The sequence below is a fragment of the Homo sapiens genome, chromosome 2, assembly GCF_000001405.40.
Source record: "Homo sapiens chromosome 2, GRCh38.p14 Primary Assembly".
Taxonomy (NCBI): Eukaryota; Metazoa; Chordata; class Mammalia; order Primates; family Hominidae; genus Homo; species Homo sapiens.
In genome coordinates, this window is record NC_000002.12 from 121,990,759 (window position 1) to 122,013,308 (window position 22,550).

A 22,550-nucleotide genomic window follows, 5' to 3' on the forward strand; every position below is an offset into this window, starting at 1 on the left:
AAAATAGCACCTCTGCCACAATTGTACTACATGAACCAGATGTTGGAGGTGGGTATCTTCCCGTGTATTATCCAGATAAGATGGGCTTCATCTTCCGTCTTATGTCATGTGGGAAGTCAAATGCCTTCACCAAGGTTTTTGTAAATTCCTGTTTATACTCATTTCTAGTTACTTCTGGCTAGGTTCTGTCTTTGCCAAATTATCACTTTATGCTGTGCTTTTTGAAACTGCCTCATTATTCTGCCCTGGGATTGACCCAAATGTGAGAAACAGACCTGCCTAATTTATTCCCTTCTAGGAAAGAAAACTCTCCAAGATTACTGAAATGTCATGAAATGAGAAGGTTGGATGTTATATGTCTCCCTGTGGAAGTTTCCAACACCACTTATGAAGTAGTCTTGCCAAAAGAAATCAAACCAGAATCCAATCAACCCTTTCAATGGTTGGTGGATTTTTTCTGGCAAGACTACTTTATAAGTGGTGCTGAGTACTCCCATCAAGAAGGATTTGCTTCAGAATTGTCTAGTGAGGAAAAAAATGGGCGGGTGCAGCGATGAAGCAAGATTGACCATGGGTTGCTAAGTGCTGAGGCTGGGTGATGGGTACATGGGGCTTCACTGTGCTATTTTCTCTCTTATACATTTGAAAAATCCATAATTAGTAATTTGAAATTATTATCCTAATGTAGCATAAACAAAACAAAACAATCAACGCACATGAAGCAGCTCAGTGAGATGGGCTTTTATTAAAAACTCCGAGGTAATAGTGAGAGAAGTTACAGCAAACTTCATATAGTGGCTAATTTAATACTGAATATTAGCATTCTTTCTCTTCAGAAAAAACCTCCCCAGCCTTCTCAACTACTCAAAATCCAGGTGCCTGCTGTGTTTGTTTTCCACTTGCCTACCACCATTTTCCATCTCTAATGATGCCAGAAAAAACTCCTATTGTATTATGTAGAGCAATTCAGTGGTCCCTAGCCAGGAACTCAACTCTGGACTTTCCTTTGCAAATCCAATGGTCCAGGGATGCACTGTGCAACAGATGCTTCCTCCAGGTTTTGCAGCTTTCCCATGTATTTGATAAGGTAAAGATGAAGTAAAAGTAACTGACCAGGCAATGCCTCAAAACACAGACCATATTTTCCCCTCCTGTAATGGGTCTGAGGATAGATGGGAAGTCCAGCTCCGCTCCATGAGATCATTCAGAGAAGCAAGTTCCCTCCATCTGCTGCTCCCCCACCCCTGACTGGAGAACTGCCAGTGAGAATGAAAGGATGTGTGGAAGAGTCCACACTGGTGTCCACAGGACCAGCCCAGGAAGTTGCATGTGTGGCCACTACTCATATCCCATGGACAAGAACCTAGTTACCTGGCTCCACCAGCTATGCAGAGCCTGAGGAGTGGCCTGGCCTGCAAGCTTGTGCCCAGCTACAGTTCTGCCTCCATGGCAGAGGGGAGAACGGATTCTGGAATACGTCTCTCTGCTCTCAGTCTATGCAAGGAGAACAGAGGTTTCATCTGTACTGATATTATAACCAGGGTATGGAATGCATGACTGGTGGGCTGGGATCAAATGCAGCTTTAGTTTGTCCCCTATTCCCCTTTCAAGGTTACTCAGTGCTGGTGACTTTGCCGTGCCCCTGGGTGAAACTGTCAGACCCACAGCCTCTCTTTCTGTTCTTGGGTAATAGACCATTGTAGGGACTTTAAATCCCAGTTCAGCAATTTGAATGTCGAGTCCCAGATCTTACCTCAATTTGGTGACAAATATTTGCCTCTCTCCCAGCTTGGCCCAGCTTTAAGGACATGAGTGGCTTTCTCTTAGTTTCTCCACCTTGGCAGGATGATGCTGGAGGTGCTGGAGGAGGGAGGGTCCATCTCACTCCTGCTGGCTTTGCAGGGAGCTGGCTTCCTGTTCCCTGGGCCTGGCAGGTATGGAGAGCTGACTGCATCCCTCGTGCTGGGATTTGGAAAGCTCTTCAGAGCTTCCCAGGTGGGTTCCTTGACTGCATCCCTTTGAGCAGCCCTGTGCTCCTCTGTTCTGGGTAGCAGCTAGAGACACCTCTGGCAGCCCGAGGAATGCAGTCTTATCCTGACTTCTTGTGGCTGAGATCAAGATCTCTCTGGCCCCCTAGGTGGCCCTGTTGACCCTAAGATATCCCACAGCTGGCTTTCTCTCCCATGGGGCACACACTGGATCCTTGGGAAACACATCCCCTGCTCAGCACCCTTCTTGCTCAGAACTCTTCTTGCTCACCTTTGACCTCTTGGTTTTTCAGGTGGGAGTCGGGACCCAGCCCTCCCATCCTCCAGCTGTAGGGGCCACAGAGCCTGTAGCAGGGGGTGGGATTCACAGCACAGTCTGTGGTATATAATCTGTGGTCATATCTGGATCAGAGTGCTCCAAAGATATAATTACTTTTTGTATTCATGGAGAGGGTGAGAGAGTTCTTAAGCAGTGGACAAGGTTCTGCATCCGACCTTGATAAATTCCGCCTTTGGGGATGTGTCTACAGATTCTATGGTATTGGGTATCTGTTGTCTTGGTGCTCAGTTAAAATGGAAGCAGGAAGATTTCTGCCCTTCTAGCCTGTAATATAAAAGAATCATGCTGCTTGCAAAAGCAGCCACAGTCAATTTGGGTTTTAAATAACAATTTTTATCTCCCCGCTACCGTTGGAAATCCCCTGCATATAGCCCTGGCTACAGAAGGCAGACCCAACAGGGAAGCCATCATGGATGTCCTGCCCGTCTGTCCCCTGCTTCCCCACAGCCCATGACTGAGAAAGCATAAAGCATTGGTGGGACCATGTCTTTGAATAGGATTTTTGTCTCCAGCTTTCTGTGATGTGGCTCACCAGGGGAAATAACATTTTCATATTGTTATGACCTGTGAATATTTTCTTTAAAGTCAGCAAAACAAATCCTTCAGATTCTGTGCACTTTTGCTGCCACATAAATTGTAATTATTAGGTCAGTGGAGTGGTAGCAGTTACGGGGAGCCCAAGGCTGGGATTGTTAGAGCCAATTAGTGCAGACCTTGTATTAATATGTTTCCACCTTCACATGCCAAGCCCTGTACAAGGCTATGCATTAACACAAGGATTTATGTTGCAGCGGGCAGGGGCTGAGTCCCACTCCAGCCACATGGAGACGCAGTGAGCCGTCTTTGTGCCAATATGTCTTTGAGCCTTAGAGCCTAAGTCTAAAGGAATGAGTTCAGCATACACTGACCAAGAACCTGCTGTGTGCTTGCTACAGAGGGTGACAAGTTTAGTGATGAAGAAGACAGCTTCTCACCCAAGGAGCTCGGAGGCAGAGCCTAGAGAGGAAGGGAATTATATACACCTACTACCAGCAGCCCACTCCTAAGACCACTGTGGACTCCTCAGCATGTCTGTACGGCTAGGTAGGTTCATCCACCTCCTCTCGCCTGGGTGTTCCTCCTTACCTGGCTTCTGGAATCCCACTGCCCACCTTTCACTGCCCCTCCCACTGTCCTTCCATCTTAGGGTCCCAGGGCTCCCCCTCTTTGAGTCCAATCCTCAGCTCTTGTCATTTGTGAAGGTCCCTTCACTGACCATACAGATGGCTGCTGAGAGTGCACCTGTGGGGCAGTGAAGAAAAGGGGATTTGCCAGCAGCTCAGAGCTTGGCGAGCAGGTGTCCTGTGAATCACTCTTCAGAGGGAGGTGGCTGGGAAAAGCCCACCCAGGATGTCACTGGGTTGGGCTCCTGTACAGGAAACCAAGCAGAGATATGTGATTGTCTCAGGAGTAAAGCTGTTTTCTCCTGTAATTCCATCACTGTAGAAAGACACCTAAAACTGAATTCAATTTACCTCCTTGAGGTGCAGAGTGCTTTTTTCCCCAACATATTCTGTATGAGCAAGTTGCCCACAGGAAAGCATTCAGTGTACCAAGTGCTGTGGGACACAGCAATGGGAATTTCCAACTCAGCAGCTAGTCACTGGAGGGTCAGGACTGAGATCTGGCTCTACTGACTGCAAAGACCACGTTTCTTCCCCTTTATCATATTGCCTGCCTGCTAGTGATACTTTCTAGTTGTTTCTTACCTACATACTTTTCAGTTCATTATTATTTGTTGTAATAAAAAACAGCATTTACCATCTTAACCATCTTTAAGTGTACAGTATAGTAATGTTACCTATATGCACATTGTTGTGTGACAGATCTCTAGAGCTTTTTTGTCTTGCGAAACTGAAATTCTACACCCATTGAAAAACTCCTTTCCCCATTCCTCCTAGCCCCTGTCAACCACTATTCTACTTTCTGTTTCCAAGAGTTTGACTACTTTAGATACCTCATATAAGTGAAATCATGTAGTATCTGTCCTTTTGTGAATGGTTTATTTCACTTAGCATAATGTCTTCCAGGTTCATCTAAGTTGTAGCATATGACAGAATTTCCTTCTTTTTTTAAGATGAGGTCTTGCTGTGTTACTCAGGCTGTCCTCAAACTCCTGAGCTTAAGTGATCCTCTCACCTCAGCCTCCCAAGTAACTGGGACTACAAATGTGAACCTCTGCACCTAGTAGATTTCCTTATTACTTTAAGGGTGAATAATATTCATTCCATTGTATATCACAAGAGTTCCAGTTTCTCCACGATCCTCACCAACTCTTGTTATTTTTATTTTATTTTTTTGATAGTGGCTATCCTGATAAGTGTGAGATTTTATGGTTTTGATTTTCATTTCCCTGATGATTAGTGATGGTGAGCATCTTTTTGCTTGGTGGCCATTTGTATGTCTTTTTGGTAATGTCTGTTCAAGTCCTTTACCCATATCTTAATCTGGCTTTTTTGTTTGTTTGTTTGTTTGCTATTGAGTTGTAAGAGTTCTTTCCATATATTTTGGATATTATTAGCCCCTTATCAGATACGGGGTTTGCAATATGTTCTCCCATTCCATAAGTTGCCTTTTCACTCTGTTGATCATTGCCTTTGTTGTGCAAAAGTTTTAAAGTTTGACAGCCCCATTGGTCTCTTTTTGCTTTGGTTGCCTGTGTGTTCGATGTTCTTAGAAATAAGGATTCAGGTACAAGTAGTTCATTCAGGAGGGCAGGGAAGACTTGCAGGAAAATGATGCAAAAGAGAAACTGCAGAATGATCCTTCCCAATGGGTGGAGGAGCTGGGTATTTGTGCACCATTTCCTGTCAGTCATTGGTTGGGGGTTGCTTGTGGGGGATGTTAATTCCTTGGCACTTCTGATTTGCCATGCAGGGAAGCAGAACAGCATTCTGTGGTTCCAGCAAAACCTCCAGGTACAGAGATGCAGATGCTGGCAGTTTGGTAGCTTTTTGGAGCACTTGAAGTGGTGGGGTTTAAACAAAGCAAGTAGAGCATTGGCAGCATCTGCCACATCCCAAATAATCACAGGTCCTGGGTGCTAGTACTGATTCTGTTTGCATTGCTGTAAAGGAATACCTGAGACTGAGTAATTTATAAAGAAAAGAGATTTATTTGGCTCATGGTTCTGCAGGCTGTACAAGAAGCATGGCACCAGCATCCACTTCTGGAGAGGCCTCAGGAAGCTTCCAATCATGGCAGAAAAGAAAGGGGCGCCAGCATATGTAGATCACATGGCAAGACAGAGGAGGCAAGAGTTGGTGGGAGGTGCCTGGCTCTTTTAAATAATCAGCTCTCAGGAATAATTGCAGGAATTCATAGCTCAAGAACTCACTTATTACTGTGAGGACGGCACTAAGCCATTCATGAGGGATCCAACCCCATGACCCAAACACCTCCCACTAGGCTGCACCTTCAACACTGGGGATCAAATTTCAGCATGAGATTTGCAGGGGACAAATATCCAAACTGTATCAGTCACTAACAAGCTATTTGACTTTGGATGTCATGTGACCCTGTGCCTCAGTTTCCTCAAAAGCAAAATGGGAGATTTATAATATCCTCTTTCCAAGTAGAATACAAACTCCTTAAGGCCAGGCACTCTGCTTTGGACACTCTTTTCCAGGGTATGGGGCTAGATCATTTGCACACTTCATCTTGCTGCCTCTTCTGGAAATAACTTTAATCAAGACCTTTAGGAGACTTGGGACATGCAGAATGCGTGTCTTTGCAAAAGACATGACAATGTCACCATCCATGTGGCTACTTCTACACTAAGACATCTCTTGATGTTCTCAACACAGCTCTGGAAGCAGATTCAGTAGATGCTACTCGAGTCATCGGATGAAGCAGGAAATAGGGACACAGAGCTGTGTATGCACTAGGCGCTTACCAATGCTTGGCACAGCCACCGACTGAAATGTTCCCTATATTTTTGGCTGTATGGCAGGTGCTTGATCACAGATTCCCTATGTATGTGTCACTTTGAATAGATACATATTCTAAAGTGTCACCCACAGCCATTAAGTATGCAGAGATTCTCCTTGGAATGGGCCATTAACTACCATTTATGAACTGGTCTAAATCCCAAGAATGGTGCACCCAAGGATGACCTTGGTTCAGGTGTCAGTAAGTTATGCTGCACAGCATTTTGCTCATGCTGCAGTCCCTGGTCTGCAGGCGGGATAATTATCACACATTCAATAGGCATGTCCTTTCCATATTCATGGGTTTTCACTTCTTGGTTGTTTGCTCGCTTCCAAGTACTCTCTGAATTAGTCTCTCAATTTTTTTCTGACTTCTATAAAATGAAGGATTAATTTCCATCAGGAATCACCCATGTTTATAAATAATCTCCAAAAGTGACTTTTTGGCTGTTCAGCTTATATAGTTATTTTTGAGATGTGACAGGTCATGGTTATTACTTGGGACTTCTGAACAGGGAGCCTGATGAAATTATTCCAAAGTTAGAGGTGTGTCTTCATGGTTCCCATTTTGTCCTAAGATTGCAACATAAGAACACATGGCTGAAAAGTTTTTTTTTCATTTTGATCCATTCTCTCTTTCTCTGCATACTCTCCAGCCTCCTTCTAAGAAGATTGTGAGTTTGCCTCTCTCTCTCTCATATATATATATATATATGTCAACATGTGTGTATACTCAACTTGATTAAAAAAAACAAGAAGAAATTGAGGTCACAGCAAAATGAAGGTGTACACATAAGATCTCCAGGGCAGGAAAGGCTGGTAGGTACACAAATGCTGGTCCGAGGGTCTTAGGCAGATATGAGAGATTGTTACAGATTTGGCTCTTAACCTCTTAGCAGCCAAAGCAAAGAAACACTATCCACAGAACTCACCATGTCATTAGAGGATAAAATATGATTACTTAGCAGAAGCTCAGAGTTTTCTATTAGTAGGTGTACAGGTTTTTACAAAGGGCAGCATATCACACTGTCCTGGATAGAGCTATGATGAAATGCGGGTGGGTTTGTGCTGTGGGCTGTGTGTAGGGCGTGGCTGCTGTGTCTGTGTGTTGTGGGGGAAGGTTCGGGAGCTCTCTAAGGAGCTAAGGTCCATGGGAATGGGAGTGGGCACTCACACTGAGTGTGGTGGTCCTGTGTAGCTCAGACTGAAAGAGGACTTGGAGACCACCTTCCTGTGCAGGCCAGCCTGGACCTCTGACACACTCGTAACATGGCCCTGGCTGGGCTTGGTGGTTCACACCTGTAATCCTAGAACTTTGGGAGGCCAAGGTGGGCGGATCACCTGAGGTCAGGAGTTTGAGACCAGCCTCACCAACATGGAGAAATCCCATCTCTACTAAAAATACAAAATTAGCCAGGCATGGTGACGCATGCCTGTAATCCCAGCTACTCGGGAGGCTGACGCAGGAGAATCACTTGAACCTGGGAGGCGGAGGTTGCAGTGAGCTGAGATTGCACCATTGCATTCCAGCCTGGGCAACAAGAGCGAAACTCCGTCTCAAAAAAAAAAAAAAAAAAAAAAAAGAGGGCCCTGAGGAAGCACATGGCTGGGCTGCACCTGAGACTTTTCCTGGCCTCCATAGATGCCCCTGATTGTCTCCTCTTGCCCTGCACGGCCTGAAGGAGTTCCAGAGTTTCCCCAGTACTTGAGAGGCCTAGAACACATAAGTTGGAGGTCAGAGCCCATCCCCCACTGGCATCCTGTGTCTGACTCTCCACAAAAAGGAGGAAAGCAGGTACCAGACATGCCAGGGAGGTGTAGGCTGGCATGGAACAGCCGTTTTCTTAGCATCATCATCAACTTGTTGATGACATTTGTTCAGATGCATCCGGGCGCATGAAATGATGTGGCTGGGCTCATCTTCTCAGCCACAGACTGATCTCAGGCCTCTTGGCAATCTCTTGTGAAGTGAAGAGACTTGAAGGATCTTTGGCTCTTGAGCATGTGCATCAAATCTGTCCCCCGAAGGCTAACATGCCTTGGTTTCTCCCTAATTGACAACCTCCACCAACAGTTTCTCCTTTGCTCTGATCATTTACCTGGGATTCTTTTCAGTTTCCAGAAATAATGTTTTGAGATTGCAGCTCAGTTTCTGGCATTGCAGATAAGCAGCTTTTTTCAGGCTGGGCCTTGGGAACCTTGGCAGCAGCATGAACTGAGGGATGCCCGTGGCTGTGACTTTTGTGATGAGCGTGGCCTATGGTAGCTTCATCAGACGCTGCTACAGAAACTCCTTGTTGGCTATGCTTTTCGTGATTACTGTGGTCCTGGTAGCTTTTGACAGCAGCTGTTCCGGATGGATCAAGGCTGTTAGGGAAGTTCTGTTTCAAAGAGACAACTCAGACTCAGAGATAATTTCTCTGCAGGACTGATCAGGCCTTAAGATATGAAATGTGTTTATTGGGCAGCTGCCAAGTGCTTCCTGCTGCATAACACCGCCTGGGGTGTGGAGAGCTTTATGTAAACTTCAGAGAGCTTTTCCTGACTTAATTTCCACCATGCCTCTGTGAGGGAGTACATCAGCTAGAGCAGGTTTGTTTGCAAGTGACATGAAAGACTCCAGCTGACTTGATCTACGAAGGGGAGTTACTGGCTGGTTCATGTCACTGATATACTCAGCGGTAGTCCTGATTCAGGTGAAGCTTGATCTAGGGCTCAACAACTATCCCTAAGGTCCTGTCCCTAAGGGACAAATATTTTCCTTGTTCCTGCTCTGCCTTCCTGGACTAGGCTTCTTTCCTGAGGTTTATACCAAAGGCTGCTAGCAGCCCAGGAAAGCTTGCAGTTTCAAAATAGTTGCTGGAGTTCTAATCCTTACAACCTCTGATTATGTCATCCAGTGGAAGAGAGAGGGTCTCCTCTAGTAGTTTTTACAGAGCAGGGATACAGTCTCTATTCCCACAAAGCCCCGGAAAGTCTCCTTGCATATCCTTGGCTCTGATTAGTTTGTGTGTCCATCCTTGGGCCAGAAGCATGGAACTCTCTGACTGACTTAGGGACCCTCTCCTATGCTGGGGGTGGGTTTAACTTTATCAAGTCACAAGGCTAAGAATGGGAAGGAAAACAAAAGATTCTGTTCACGAAAGAGGGGAGTTTGTCCGCAGACCTGCGAAAAATGTCTGTTGGCTATAGGACAGTAAGAAGAGGCTTATACCCAGTCAGCAGAGGAGAGCCTGGGCTCGTCCAGGGTCATATAACAGGGGGATGGCGCTCCTGGGGGTGATTTTTTTTTTCTCCGCAGTTACCCTGTCAGTTCATTGATGCCCCAGGCCACTGATTTTATTTTTTCCTACTGTTTCTCCAAGATCCAGTATAATGCAATGCCCTTAGATGGTGCTTACCCAGTGTTTGTTGACTGACTGGAAGAGGGTAATTAGGGAAGTGTGGAGGGACATTGCTGCTGGAACTGGTGAAGCTCAAGTGGTGATTGAAATGGAGACCCAGGAAGTGCATCTGAAGGGATCTTGAAAATCTCTAAAGCAGCTAAGAACCTGGGCTTGCTCAGTAGAGAGTGAGACGTGCTGTTGTAGAAGGTGGGTGACGGTGAAAGGAAGGGAGCAGAATGTGAGCTGAGCTGGGGAGGCGGTTGCTGGGAAAGCCCTGGAGGAGGTGGCAAGCGCGGCTGCGCCTGCTCAGGTGAGAGCCTGGGCCGGACCCTGCATGGCACCGCCTCCCCATCAGCCCTGCACCAGACCCCTCTCTCTAGCACTGTGAAGAAAGACGGGACTGTTTTGCAAGTTAAGGCACAAGAGATAGAAGACACTCACAGCTGAGCAACATTTTTAGGACCTGTGGTGGTTAATGTCTTTGGAGCTAAATAGTGAAACATGGGTGGAGTTTTGGGTCCTGTGCTTTGAACAGAGCAGGGCACAGAGACTGTTGATGACATTGACTTGTTTGCCTACCATGACGGTGGGGCTTGGGGAGGGTGAACTGCAGCAGCAGCCACGCGGACCCCGCAGGTTTCCCAAGGCATGACATGGGTGGGGTAGTGGACGCCCCCTTCAAGGCGTCTGCCACTGTAGATGTTCTAGGAACGGGATGCCCTCAGGGAGTGCTGCACCCTGGCCTGCGAGGGCCCCTGCAGCCTTCTTGCTTGCTCCAGGTGTGGTTCATGTCCCTGTTTTAGCAGTAGAACGTGGTCTCCTGGGTCCCCGCACCATCGCGGAGGCACTCCCCCTGCATGACTGCTTCTCAGGGCTCCATGCTGGCATTTGTTCTTCCCTGGTTTGAGTTTCCTTGACAGGAAACCACAGGAGAAGCCCTGGGCTGGTGTTCTCTCTCATTAGGCCTGCCTGCACCTCAGGTGAAGTGAGAAATCTCTCAGCCTCCCAGCCCCCAGACCCGTGGCTCCCTGTCTTCCAACCGCCTGGTGGGATGCCCCCTCAGGGCACGTTGGCAGTGCTGGCAGGGGATGCCTCCAGGCTCCTGTCTTTCTGATGTGCCACATTGACCTTGGGTGACCTCTGTTGAGCTCAGCTCCACTGAGAGCCACAGGGAGAGAATAAGCCAGGCATGACATCCCGGCTGTGTGGTGGCTGCCTGCTCCCCAGGGAGCAAAGGACACTTGGGGTAACTTTTCAGCCCCCGTCTTGGGCTGACAAGGCCCTGGAGACTTTTTTCCATTACGCTTGAAGAATTTTAAACAATGTTGCACATGACGTCTTCTGTGTATTAGGAGAATAAAGGTTGGTTTAAACCTAGAATTTTTTCAGAGCTGAAAGAATATTAGTCATCTTTTGAGTTTACCCTGGTCATGTCCCAGCTGAGCCTGCACTGGTAAGCTGCAACCCAGAAGGTAGGTGGGCTCCTTATATACTTACTCCTTTCACAAAGTCCTGGAGGTGATTTAAAACAGGAACACATAACATAAAACAATGTAAATATAAGAAGAAAGATTTAGGTCCAAGGAAAATAAGAACAAGTGACATATGTTGAGCCTGGAGAGAAGGCAAGAAGAGCACCCATCACAGGTCCTGCCTTCTTGCTTTCAATTGAGCCTGACATTTGATGCTGAGCTCCCTGGTGGCCAATGTGAAGAAGAATTGGTTTCACTTTTCTCTTCAGAAGGAAATGCAGGTGTTGTGTTATGTTCCTTAAGCACAATATCTTGTTTCATCTTCATAACAGTCCAATGAAGGAGGTTTCCTTAGATCCAGTTTATAGATGAAGAAATGGAATCTCAGAGATTGTAGAGGACCCTCAGCTACCCAGCTGTTAGGTAGTAGGAATAAGACTGGAACCCAGTTCTGTCTGGTTAGGCCATGCTCTTGACTAGGAGGCTGCACGTTTCTGAGGTGAAGGAGCAAGCAGATGGCACCGCTACTGTTATTTTATGCTCTTAAAGAATCCAAACTGACGCCCTGGCATGGATGAATGCTCCTCTTGCCTGGATTTTCAGAGGGTGCCTCCAGAACCAACCCAGGCCTCTGCACAGGGCCGGCATGACTCAGCTCTCAATGACCTGCAGTCACAGATAAATCAGTGATGCTGTGTCCCCAGAGAAAGGCTAGGAGACACCCTCTTCCCCTTACCTCCTCCTGGGCTCCCCAGTTCTTGTCTACATTTTCGTAGGGTCCTTCTAAGGTGAATGCCCTTGCTTTTCATAATCCCAATTTCTCCAGAGGGCATTGTAATTTTGATGGGGAGGGTGGATAGTGTCATCATGGGCTGCTATTTGAGTGAGGGACACATACATTTGGATGAAAGCTGGCTTGCTCAGTGAATGAACGAGTAAAAGTAAGCCCATAGCGAACTGTAGATCAGGCTTCTATCATCCTTTTGTCATGCGGTGCAAAGAGCTCACCTTTTCTTTGAGCCAAAGAGAGCAAAGATAAGCTTCTGGGACAGGGCATCCCAAAGGGAGCACCCATGACTTTGGGGGAGAAGACGGACTATGGGGACAGAATGGGGCACAGGAGACAGTGGTTCAGGGGGCAGCAGGGCCATACTCTGCAGAGACTGGGTGGGAAGGGTCTCCTCCCTCCAGCCCATGGAGTCCCGGGAGCACCCATGACTTTGGGGGAGAAGATGGACTGTGGGGACAGAATGGGGCACAGAAGACAGTGGTTCAGGGGGCAACAGGGCCATACTCTGCAGAGACTGGGTGGGAAGGGTCTCCTCCCTCCAGCCCATGGAGTCCCTGGCCCTCCTCTGCCACCTGCCAGAGGCAACAAGCAACCATGAGAACCTGGAGAAAGGGGTCGCCGGCTGAGCTGTCCTTTGCTCTCCTGCCTCTGCTGGGGCCTCAACACCTGTGTCCAGAGCCTCTCCACCCACCTGCACTCTCTGGGTCCTCCTCTTTTGCATCAAGGTGTGGTCATCATGCCATCAGGTCAGGCCCTGCCCACCCCTCAGAAATAAACGGACACCATCTGCTGCCAGGGTGTGGAGGGCAGGCAAAGGCAACCAGGCAGAGATGAGAGGGGAAGAAATGGACGGAAATGCTCCCAGAGTTATTCTAATCAGGAATAGCCATGCCGCTACCTCGACAGTGTACACAATTTGAAGAGCACACAGGGAGAGATATAACATGAAGGAGGCTCTTAGCCGTGTTAATGCTCCCTTCAGTGGTGTTAGCTGCACAGCAGATGGTAGACGGCCAACAGAACTGGAGGAAATCAAGTATCCTTCATAGCTCACTTCAGGCAGCGTCTGGGGTGATTTTATTATTTATAGCGTCATGGAAACAAGCTGTACTGCACCTCAGTGTGCTGTTACTTAATTCTTTTCTCCTCCTGAACGCAGTGTTGGTGTACTCCATATGGTTATTACAGGTAGATTTGTTTCTCTTCCTGTATATATTTATTTCTGGAGTAACTAGCTTTTGGCAGCTCCACCTGAAAATTAATTTGAAGCATTAAAGAGAGGTAGTGGGAAGAAGCAACTCCATTCAGACCTAGAATAGATATGTTCTGTTTCCATGGACTCTTCTTACGTGGGCCATTTAAAGGATGCGAAACCACGGGAGAACCTCCCTGGACTAACTTGGCTCAGGTGAGAATCGGTGTGCAAAAATCCCAACAAATGAGTGTTGATTCCATAGACAGCTGGAGCCCTTGCTTGAATTTTGCTTTATGGAATCATTATTTTAAATGAAGTTCCCTTAGTGCTGTGAAGTCACCGATGATGCTGAGAATGGGCAAAGACAGCAGAGAAGATGAGGGCCCAAGGTTAAGAACTGCTGAACTTTAAGAGAGTAAAGAAAGAAAGATAATTGGAAATAATGGGGCTCTGTACTATGGTGCTAATGAACTCCTTATGGATCCCTTATTAAACAATTAATTTTTGAAAATAACTAGTTTGCAATATTAAAAATGTAATATGTATTCGTGACTACATTCAAATTATCCAGAAGGGCATAAGGTGAAGAGTATAAATCTCCCCTTCTGGCCCCTCTTCCTCAAGTTACCATGATTCATTGCTTGTTGCTCATCTGTCCAGAAATTTCCTATGCAAGGGAAAGGATGTATTGCTTCCTTTGAAAAATCACAAATGGAATCACGCTGCATGGAATGCTCCACAACTTGCTTTTCAGTTCATAGGTGATCTTGGAGATCTTCCCACATGTAAAGATTGGCATCATTCTCTGAAATGGCTGTACACTATTTCATTGCATGGATGTATCATAACTTTTCTAACTTATTCTCTCTTAAAGAATATGCATGCTGGTTGGGCGCGGTAGCTCACGCCTGTAATCCCAGCACTTTGGGCGGCCGAGGCGGGTGGATCACGAGGTCAGGAGATCGAGACCATCCTGGCTAACACGGTGAAACCCCGTCTCTACTAAAAATACAAAAAATTAGCCAGGTGTGGTGGCGGGTGCCTGTAGTCCCAGCTACTCTGGAGGCTGAGGCAGGAGAATGGCATGAACCCGGGAGGCGGAGCTTGCAGTGATCCGAGATCGCGCCACTGCACTCCAGCCTGGGCGACAGAGTGAGACTCTGTCTCAAAAAAAAAAAAGAAAAAAAGAATATGCATGCTGTTTCTCGGCTTTTGCTATCATGAAGAATGCCGCAAGCAACATCTTCATCTATCTTTGTGTATATCTACAAGTCTAGCTAACAGATAAATTCATCCTGTTTGGCACAATTTAGCTTGATCTCCAACAATTTTTCTTGCTAATCAGAAATGCCTGATTCTCTCTGCACCTTTCTAATATTTGCAACATCACAGGAGAAAACAATTCTTTTGTTTATTCAGTCACTCAAAGATATTAATTGAGCACCTACTATATGGCAAGCGTTGTGTGTTATGTTCCAAGAACACGATGAATATAAACAAGTAAATTTTTTTTTTTTGAGATGCAGTTTCGTTCCTGCTGCTCAGGCTGGAGTGCAGTGGCGTGGTCTCGGCTCACTGCAACCTCCGCCTCCCAGCTTCAAGCGATTCTCCTGCCTCAGTCTCCCAAGTAGCTGGGATTACAGGCACCTGCCACCATGTCCTGCTAATTTTTTTTGTATTTATAGTAGAGACGGGGTTTCACCATGTTGGCCAGGCTGGTCTCGAACTCCTGAACTCAGGTGATCCACCCGCCCGGGAGTCCCAAAATTCTGGGATTACGGGTGTGAGCCACCACGCCCGGCAAAAAAAGTGAATTTTTTATTGGGAAAAAAATCGGTTTCCCAATGGAGCTTATGGTCCAGATGAGGAGACAATAATTTAAAAACCACATAGATAAAATCAGTTTCCCAATGGAGCTTATGGTCCAGATGAGGAGACAAATATTAGTTTAATAATCACATTTTATAAGTGCAAAAATACATGATAGGAGAACATATAAAAGAGAGAGCTAATGTAGTGAGGGAATAGGCTGGGGGGTCAGGACAAGTTTCCCCCAGAAAGGGAGAATTGAGCTGTAATCTGAAAAATGAGTAGAAGCTCATTAGGGGAGGGAGGAAAGGAAGAGGAGAGGGAAAAGCATCTCAGGGAGAGGGGGTATACCAGGTGCAAAGGTCCTGAGAGAAGACCCAGATGGGAGGAGTTAGGAAAGAGTGATGGGTTCAGGGCCCACACAGGACCCATTAAGGATTTAAAACCTTTCCCAAGAGTGGTGGAAAACCTTTAAAGAGATTTAGATGGTGGAGAGATATAATCAAATTTGTGTTTTGAAAAGATCGCTGTGTTTACTTTGGGAGGGAGACAAGAGTAGAAGATAATTTATGTTGCTGTAATTTGCATCTATTTAATTTTGCGTGAGGGTGAACATTTGTTCTTATGTGATGGTCAATTGCCTTTCGTTTTCTTTGAATTGCCTGTTAATGGCCATCACACTTTTTTTCTACTGGGTTCATCTTCTGCTTATTGATTTATAAGAGCTCTTTGTGTATTAAAGAAATTAGTCTTTCATCTGCCAAGAGATATAATATTTTCCCTATTTTGTCTTTTGGCTATCTTTAGATACTTTTTAAAGTTGATATGGTCAGATTTGTCAATATTTTCTTTATGGCTTTTTAATTTTGTGTCAAGCTTATAAAGGCCCTCTCTCTGCTGAGATTATAAATGTTTGTCCTCATTTTTCCAGTGCTCTTGTTTTTATTTTTTATATTGTAGTTGATTTATCTGGAACTTATTTTTGATAGGAATTGAGTTAGAGATCAGGTTTATATATTTTTGCTAATTGCTGGCTAGTTGTACCATTACCAGTTTACAAATCCATTCATTTTTCTCACCAATTTGAAATGCTGTCTTTATCGCCTACTAAATTTTTATTTGTAAAATATGCATTTAGGTGTTACTTTATTCTGTCTACTGTATTTATTTTTGTCTATTCTTGAACAAGTACTAAATTAAAAGAATTACAGTAGCTTTGGAATATATTTTAAATATCTGGTAAGGTTCATCCTCATTTTTCTTTTCCTTTTTTCCCATGGCAATGCTGGCATGTTTCTTTCTTTGCAGGGCTCCCTGGGGGGATGAGGCAGCTAGCGTGGCTTCTGTCACCAGTTTGAAGGTGCTTGTCAATGGGGTCCCATCCCGTGTGTCCATTCAGCACCCTCTGGAGCACTGACCTATCTGCAGTTTGACCTGTGTTTCTCCACTTCTTGGCATCAAGGTGCTGCTGGGGTTACCATGTCTCTGCCTTGTTGTTTAGCAGCAGTAGAATCGACAGTTTCAAAAGCATCTTGGAGTTCCCTCCGCTTTCTTCCTTTGAAACACACAATGCTTTGAACACTCTGTGACCCGGCCAGCTGCATGTTTTCCCTTGCAGGCTTGCACCCAAGCTGGGCTTTGAACATTCGCAGGCACTGATAAAGTTGTTTAGGTTGTTGCCTCAAACACTGAAATATCACACATGTTGCTAAACATGGAGAAAGTGGCCTCAGCCCTGAGCTAAATGCCTTAAACCTTCATATAAACTCCATGACACTCGCTGGGAACACATCTGGGTAGAACATCTCCTATCTTGCTGACTGTTTAAAGGATGATGAAGCCCTGTGTATGTAAATTCTCCTAATAAATGCTTTAGATGGATCCCCCTGGGCGTTTAGTGTTTCCTTGGAATCCCAGCCAGCCCTACCTTGGGATGGTTTGGGGTAGTTCTTTCGGAAACTCTCATGCCACTGTTCCTGGGGTGACTCAGACTTTGCCTAGGCCATGGGGAGTGAGGAATGCAGGCAATCCTCAGCTTCTCTTACCTAAAGATAGGAAAACCAAATAGTGTCGGCAGTAACAGGGCTTCAGCTGTAGAACAAAGGGGGAAAATGTCATCTGGGCAGGCTGGACTGCAGACCTCTCCCTGACCTCTTATGCCGGTGCTGGTTTAGCTCAACCAGGTGCAGAGTCCCCGTTTTCAAATCTCCCTCAACAGAAAGAGCATGAACTTGAGAGTCAGGGACACCCAGGCTCAAGTCTGCCACCCACTTGCTCTGTGACCTTGTCCCTCTTAACTTCTTAGAGCTGCAGTTACTTCTCTGGACAATGGAGATAAAGAAGCCTGCTTCAAAGGGCTGTTCTGAGAAGAAGAAATAATATCTGTGTAACACCTGGCACAATGTAGCTGCTGAACAGTAACTATTGCTATTAAGCACATCACACATTTGTTTCATAAAAAATTTACTCTTCTTATAATGTCCAATCCCTTTTGTAACTTCTTTTTTTTTTTTTTTTTTTTTGAGATAGAGTCTTGCTCTGTCACCCAGGCTGCAGTGGTGCAATCTGGGCTCACTGCAGGCTCCACATTCCAGGATTCCAGGTTCAAGTGATTCTTGTGCCTCAGCCTCCCAAGTAACTGGGACTACAGGCGCATGCCACCACGTCTGGCTAATTTTTGCGTTTTTAGTAGAGGCGGGGTTTCGCTATGTTGGCCAGGCCGGTCTTGAACTCCTGACCTCAAGTGATCCACCTGCCTTAGCCTCCCAAATTACTGGGATTATAGGCATGAGCCACCGTAGCTGGCCCCTTTCTGTAACTTCTGATGGGGATTTAAATGCAGAGCCCAGATGGGAGTTGTCAGAGCCCCTCTGGTCACTGCAGGTCCTTTGTCGGCAGTATTAAATAAAAAGATGGGGGAAATATTCTGAAATAGGAAAGCAAATGGTGATTTATCATGTTCCAGATATCAGATTTTTACCCCGTGGATTTCACACCCCAAGCCCCCTCCCTATCCTGCAGGGCTGTGCAAAGGGGGCATTGCTGGGACAGCTCCAAAGCCCGCCTGCCCTGTGTCCTTTTGCAGGGGCATAGGCTCAATTAGCATGCAGAATCGCATCAGCCTGCATTTCTGGAATGAACTTTTATCCACTTCCTCGTTTCACAAGTTTAATTCGCTAAAACCGAGCCAGTGGTCTGGCGTAGATGGAAATGCTTTCAGAATAAAAATATCAGTTACTCTGCAAGCTTTTATGAAAAGTAAGGAAATGAAGTAACTAATGAAGTAAATCCCAAAGCCTGAAGTCTACCTTCCTGCCCACCTCTCCTTCTCAAAAAAAAAAAAAGGCACAAGAGAGAACAAAAAGGGGAAAATAAAAGAAAAAAAAATCAGAAATCAGACTTGGGTCAAAAGCAAACTCAAGTGATGGAGTTTTCCAAGCAGTTTGTGAAGCGTATTCTCTAAAAAGCCACCGATACTTTTAAATACCATGCCTAAAGAAGGTTGTAATCACCATGGTATATTTCATTAACAGAGAGGGTCACAAAGCATTCTGGTCAAAAGTAGATAATGTCATTCCGACAGAAATATGGAAATGCAGAGAGCTGGCTTTAGTCACATTGCTGCACTTGGATTTGGAGGTTGTGGCCCTTCCTTAGGTGATAAATACCAAGTGATGAGGGTGTGTGATGGATGGGCTTCAAAAGAGCAGAGGGCGAGGGGGCAGCGAGTGATGTGTCCTGGGACCCAGAGAGCTGGCACAGAGGGTGGTCACGCTTTGAGACATTAGGTGGAGATCAGCTGGGCCAGGCCCCCACCCCCAGCAATAGGGGACTACAGAGGCTCCCGAGAGGGCAGACCAGGCACAAGGAAGTGCAGCCCGGGCTCTCTTTGACCTTCCCATGGATGCAGGGCCTGGGATGCCTTCTAACATTCAGCATTTAGCTGCCTCTCCCCCTCTGATGGTGCCTGCTTCCTGTTCCCTTGCTTGACACTCTAGCAGCTCCTGTGGACTGGGGATGAAGCCTGCACTGCTGAATGCAAGGATGCACCGCTCTCTTGGGCCCCCCTCCTCTCCTGGGCCCTGCTGGCTCTCCCACTTCACCTCCCTGCAGCTGCATCCTGTTCCTGTCATCCTCCTGGCTAACGGGTTTGCTCCTCAGAACTGAGCTTAAGCTTCATGTTTTACAGGAAGTTTCTCTGGTGCTTCTGCCTGGCTGGAGAGCTCAAGGCTGGGCTGGAGACCCTCTCTGTGCCCCGGATAGCTACAAGCCTTCCTCCATCATGTCACTATCATAACAGGGCCCTGTGGCTGTCAGCTGGTTTGTCTGCTTCTCCTACTAGGTGTGAGCGCCTGTTTTTTCCGTCTCTACATTGCTGCCCCTGACATGGTGCCTAGAAATGGGAGAAGCTAAAAGGCCAGGTGTGGTGGCTCATGCCTGTAATCCCAGCACTTTGGGAGGCCGAGGCGGGCGGATCACGAGGTCAGGAGATCGAGACCATTCTGGCTAACACGGTGAAACCCCGTCTCTAATAAAAACACAAAAAATTAGCCGGGCATGGTGGCGCATGCCTGTAGTCCCAGCTACTCGGCAGGCTGAGGCAGGAGAATGGTGTGAACCCTGGAGGTGGAGGTTGCAGTGAGCTGAGATCGTGCCACTGCACTCCAGCCTGGGGGACAGAGCGTGAGACTCCGTCTCAAAAAAAAAAAAAAAAAAAAAAAGGGAGAAGCCTGTTGCAGGTTGGGCCTCCCAGGAAGCAGGCGCTGAGATTTTCAGCGGGCAGGGGGTTTGGTAGGGGAGCCCAGGGAAGCCACATCTGTGGAAGGAAGGGGAAGGCATCAGAAGAGGGCAGAGGAGAGGGAGCGGCTATGATGCAGGCCTGCCACAGTGAGCACAGCCCTGTGGGGAGTGCTGGAGCTAGATTGGCCCTTTGGAGATTTCCTTTCTTGGGCAGAGGAGGTCAGACCTCTCTGCTCCTGCCTGGATCAGTCACTGGGTGTGGGCCATGCTGAGAAGAGTGTAGCCTTAGGTGAGGGCTTTCAGCAGCGGAGGCAAACCCTGGAGGGGCTGAGAGCTCTTCACTCTGCCCACAGTGCCCTCACATCTGGAGCTACAAGTCCCCACTAAAGTGGGATCTGTGCAGTGCATGCACCATCCCCACAGAACCCAAGAACATCAGGAAGAATTGATGCATGCACGAGTCCAGCAGCCCAGGCTTGTTTTGGGATTCTCAGCCACATCTGTCCTCCTCAGACACCTTCTGTGCTCATTCATTTTAATATAGCAAATACCTGAGCACCAGGTGCTGTTCTGGACACTGGGACAGAGAGGGGAACTGGACAGACATGGTCTTTGCTTGCCCAGAGCCCATGTTCTAATGAGGAGACAGACAATAACTGCATCAACAGATGAGCAATGCAGTTCTCCTGCCTCAGGGCCCTGCAGAAAATGAAGAGCAAGATGGGAGGTCAGGGGACAGGAGCAGAGAGGGTGCTATTTTAGGAAGGAATGAGGTCAGAGTGCAAGGCAGGGACCAGGTCTTTGGTTTGAAAATCAAAATGAGGCTTTGATTTTATTGCAGGTACATTGGGAAGTTTTTAGAGTGTTTAAAGCAGGGAGTGAGCACTTATCTGATCTGTATTTTGAAGCGATCCTTCTTCTCACTGTTAGAATACGGGAGGCAGGGGAGAGATTGGAAGCCAAGAAGTTAGTTAAGAGGCAGCAGCAATACTAGGCAAGAGAGGGGTAGGGTTGGGGCAGGGGAGAGACAGCAAGGGGACAGAGAGGGCCATAGTGGGGGACATCGATTGGGTTGGCTGATGGACTGAAAGTGTCTCCTGAGGGAAACGAGGGCAGGAAGCTCCTGGGGGTTTGGTTTGAGGCACCAAGCATTCCATGGTGCTGCGTTCTAAAATGACGTGGAGCTGTTTCTTCCTCCTTTTCTCCATCATACATTTCCCATGGGAGGTCCCATTTCCTTGCAGTTAGAGTTTGCTACTTACAGGACAGATGAACCAAATCGCACTGATGTTACAAATAACTGTAAGGTGACTTATCCAGAAAATGTGTATGCAATGGTGGAAACTTAGGCAAACATTAGATCAGAGGATGGAATGTGAAAGTGTGGCAGCCAGCTACACTTGTGCACACAACCAAGTATTTTTTAAAGAATATTTTTTGTGGAGTCTGAGTGAGGATAGTGGTTATCTGGTCCTTTGCTGCTAAGAAAAGTTTGTGTTTTCACTACATTTTATCTCCTGCCCTATGTGGAAATACAAACAAATCAGATAAGTGCCAAAAGAAATAGGAAGCTAAGGTCAATTTCATGGAAATTTCTTAATGAGTGAGCTGTAGAAACAAAGGACAAATATTTGAGTCACAACTTGATTGGCATTTCACAGCCTCTGCGGTGACTGGGGCGATGGCAGACGCTGCTTTCAAGCTCTTCAGTCTCAGGGCAGATCTCAAGAAAAGTGTGAGCTGTGAAACTCATCTGGGAGGCTGTGCAGGAGATGTGGCCACTGGTGGAGCTGGGGGACATCATTGCTGAGGGACAGTGGATGTGTCTGCTCCTAGCTCCCCCAGCTGCAGAATGAGCCACCTGCCAGTATGGGTGGTGCATGGAATGTGGAGGTCTTGGGGCCACAGGTTCTCCAGAACCTCCCCAGCTGGGACTGGGGCCCAGAGCCATTGCATGGAGGAGCCAAGGTTGTAACTACAACAATGATGCTGAGAATGAAATCTGAGGAGTGATAGCATGGGGGACAGGGGAGCGCCATCAACAGGCTCAGGAGCTGGGATGGTGCAGGACAGGATGAACGGAGTCCAAGGCAGGCTGGGGAGCCCGGAGTGAGCTGCTGGGGGCAGCTGGCCTTTCTCATGGTTCTGGGAGTGGGTGTGGGAGGATGGGGTCTCAAGGAGACGGTGGGCAACAACACGGAAGGCTGTATGTCTTTCTTTCTTTCTTTTTTCTTTTTTTTATTATACTTTAAGTTTTAGGGTACATGTGCACATTGTGCAGGTTAGTTACATATGTATACATGTGCCATGCTGGTGTGCTGCACCCACTAACTCGTCATCTAGCATTAGGTATATCTCCCAATGCTATCCCTCCCCTCTCCCCCCACCCCACCACAGTCCCCAGAGTGTGATATTCCCCTTCCTGTGTCCATGTGATCTCATTGTTCAACTCCCACTTATGAGTGAGAATATGCGGTGTTTGGTTTTTTGTTCTTGCGATAGTTTACTGAGAATGATGATTTCCAATTTCATCCATGTCCCTACAAAGGACATGAACTCATCATTTTCTATGGCTGCATAGTATTCCATGGTGTATATGTGCCACATTTTCTTAATCCAGTCTATCGTTGGACATTTGGGTTGGTTCCAAGTCTTTGCTGTTGTGAATAATGCCGCAATAAACGTACGTGTGCATGTGTCTTTATAGCAGCATGATTTATAGTCATTTGGGTATATACCCAGTAATGGGATGGCTGGGTCAAATGGTATTTCTAGTTCTAGATCCCTGAGGAATCGCCACACTGACTTCCACAATGGTTGAACTAGTTTACAGTCCCACCAACAGTGTAAAAGTGTTCCTAT

The 22,550-nt window shown here is 46.7% G+C and overlaps 1 long non-coding RNA gene across 8 annotated transcripts in view, besides 3 other annotated features; it reads left to right on the forward strand.

Annotated features, from left to right (window-relative positions):
* Positions 1–22,550, forward strand: part of LOC105373592 (uncharacterized) — a 530,486-nt gene that overhangs the window by 88,306 nt on the left and 419,630 nt on the right. The window lies entirely within an intron of this gene.
* Positions 8,535–8,829: a silencer, noted in NCBI's record as "tiled region #14931; HepG2 Repressive non-DNase unmatched - State 22:ReprW, and K562 Repressive DNase unmatched - State 8:EnhW". NCBI's record gives its function as "represses a minimal TATA promoter and a strong SV40 promoter by Sharpr-MPRA in HepG2 and K562 cells {active_cell/tissue: HepG2 | K562}" and the evidence as "EXISTENCE:reporter gene assay evidence [ECO:0000049][PMID:27701403]".
* Positions 18,412–18,967: an enhancer, noted in NCBI's record as "H3K4me1 hESC enhancer chr2:122766746-122767301 (GRCh37/hg19 assembly coordinates)". NCBI's record gives its function as "activates a minimal SCP1, AML or CMV promoter by ChIP-STARR-seq in naive H9 embryonic stem cells {active_cell/tissue: H9 hESC(naive)}" and the evidence as "EXISTENCE:reporter gene assay evidence [ECO:0000049][PMID:30033119]".
* Positions 18,968–19,522: an enhancer, noted in NCBI's record as "H3K4me1 hESC enhancer chr2:122767302-122767856 (GRCh37/hg19 assembly coordinates)". NCBI's record gives its function as "activates a minimal SCP1, AML or CMV promoter by ChIP-STARR-seq in naive H9 embryonic stem cells {active_cell/tissue: H9 hESC(naive)}" and the evidence as "EXISTENCE:reporter gene assay evidence [ECO:0000049][PMID:30033119]".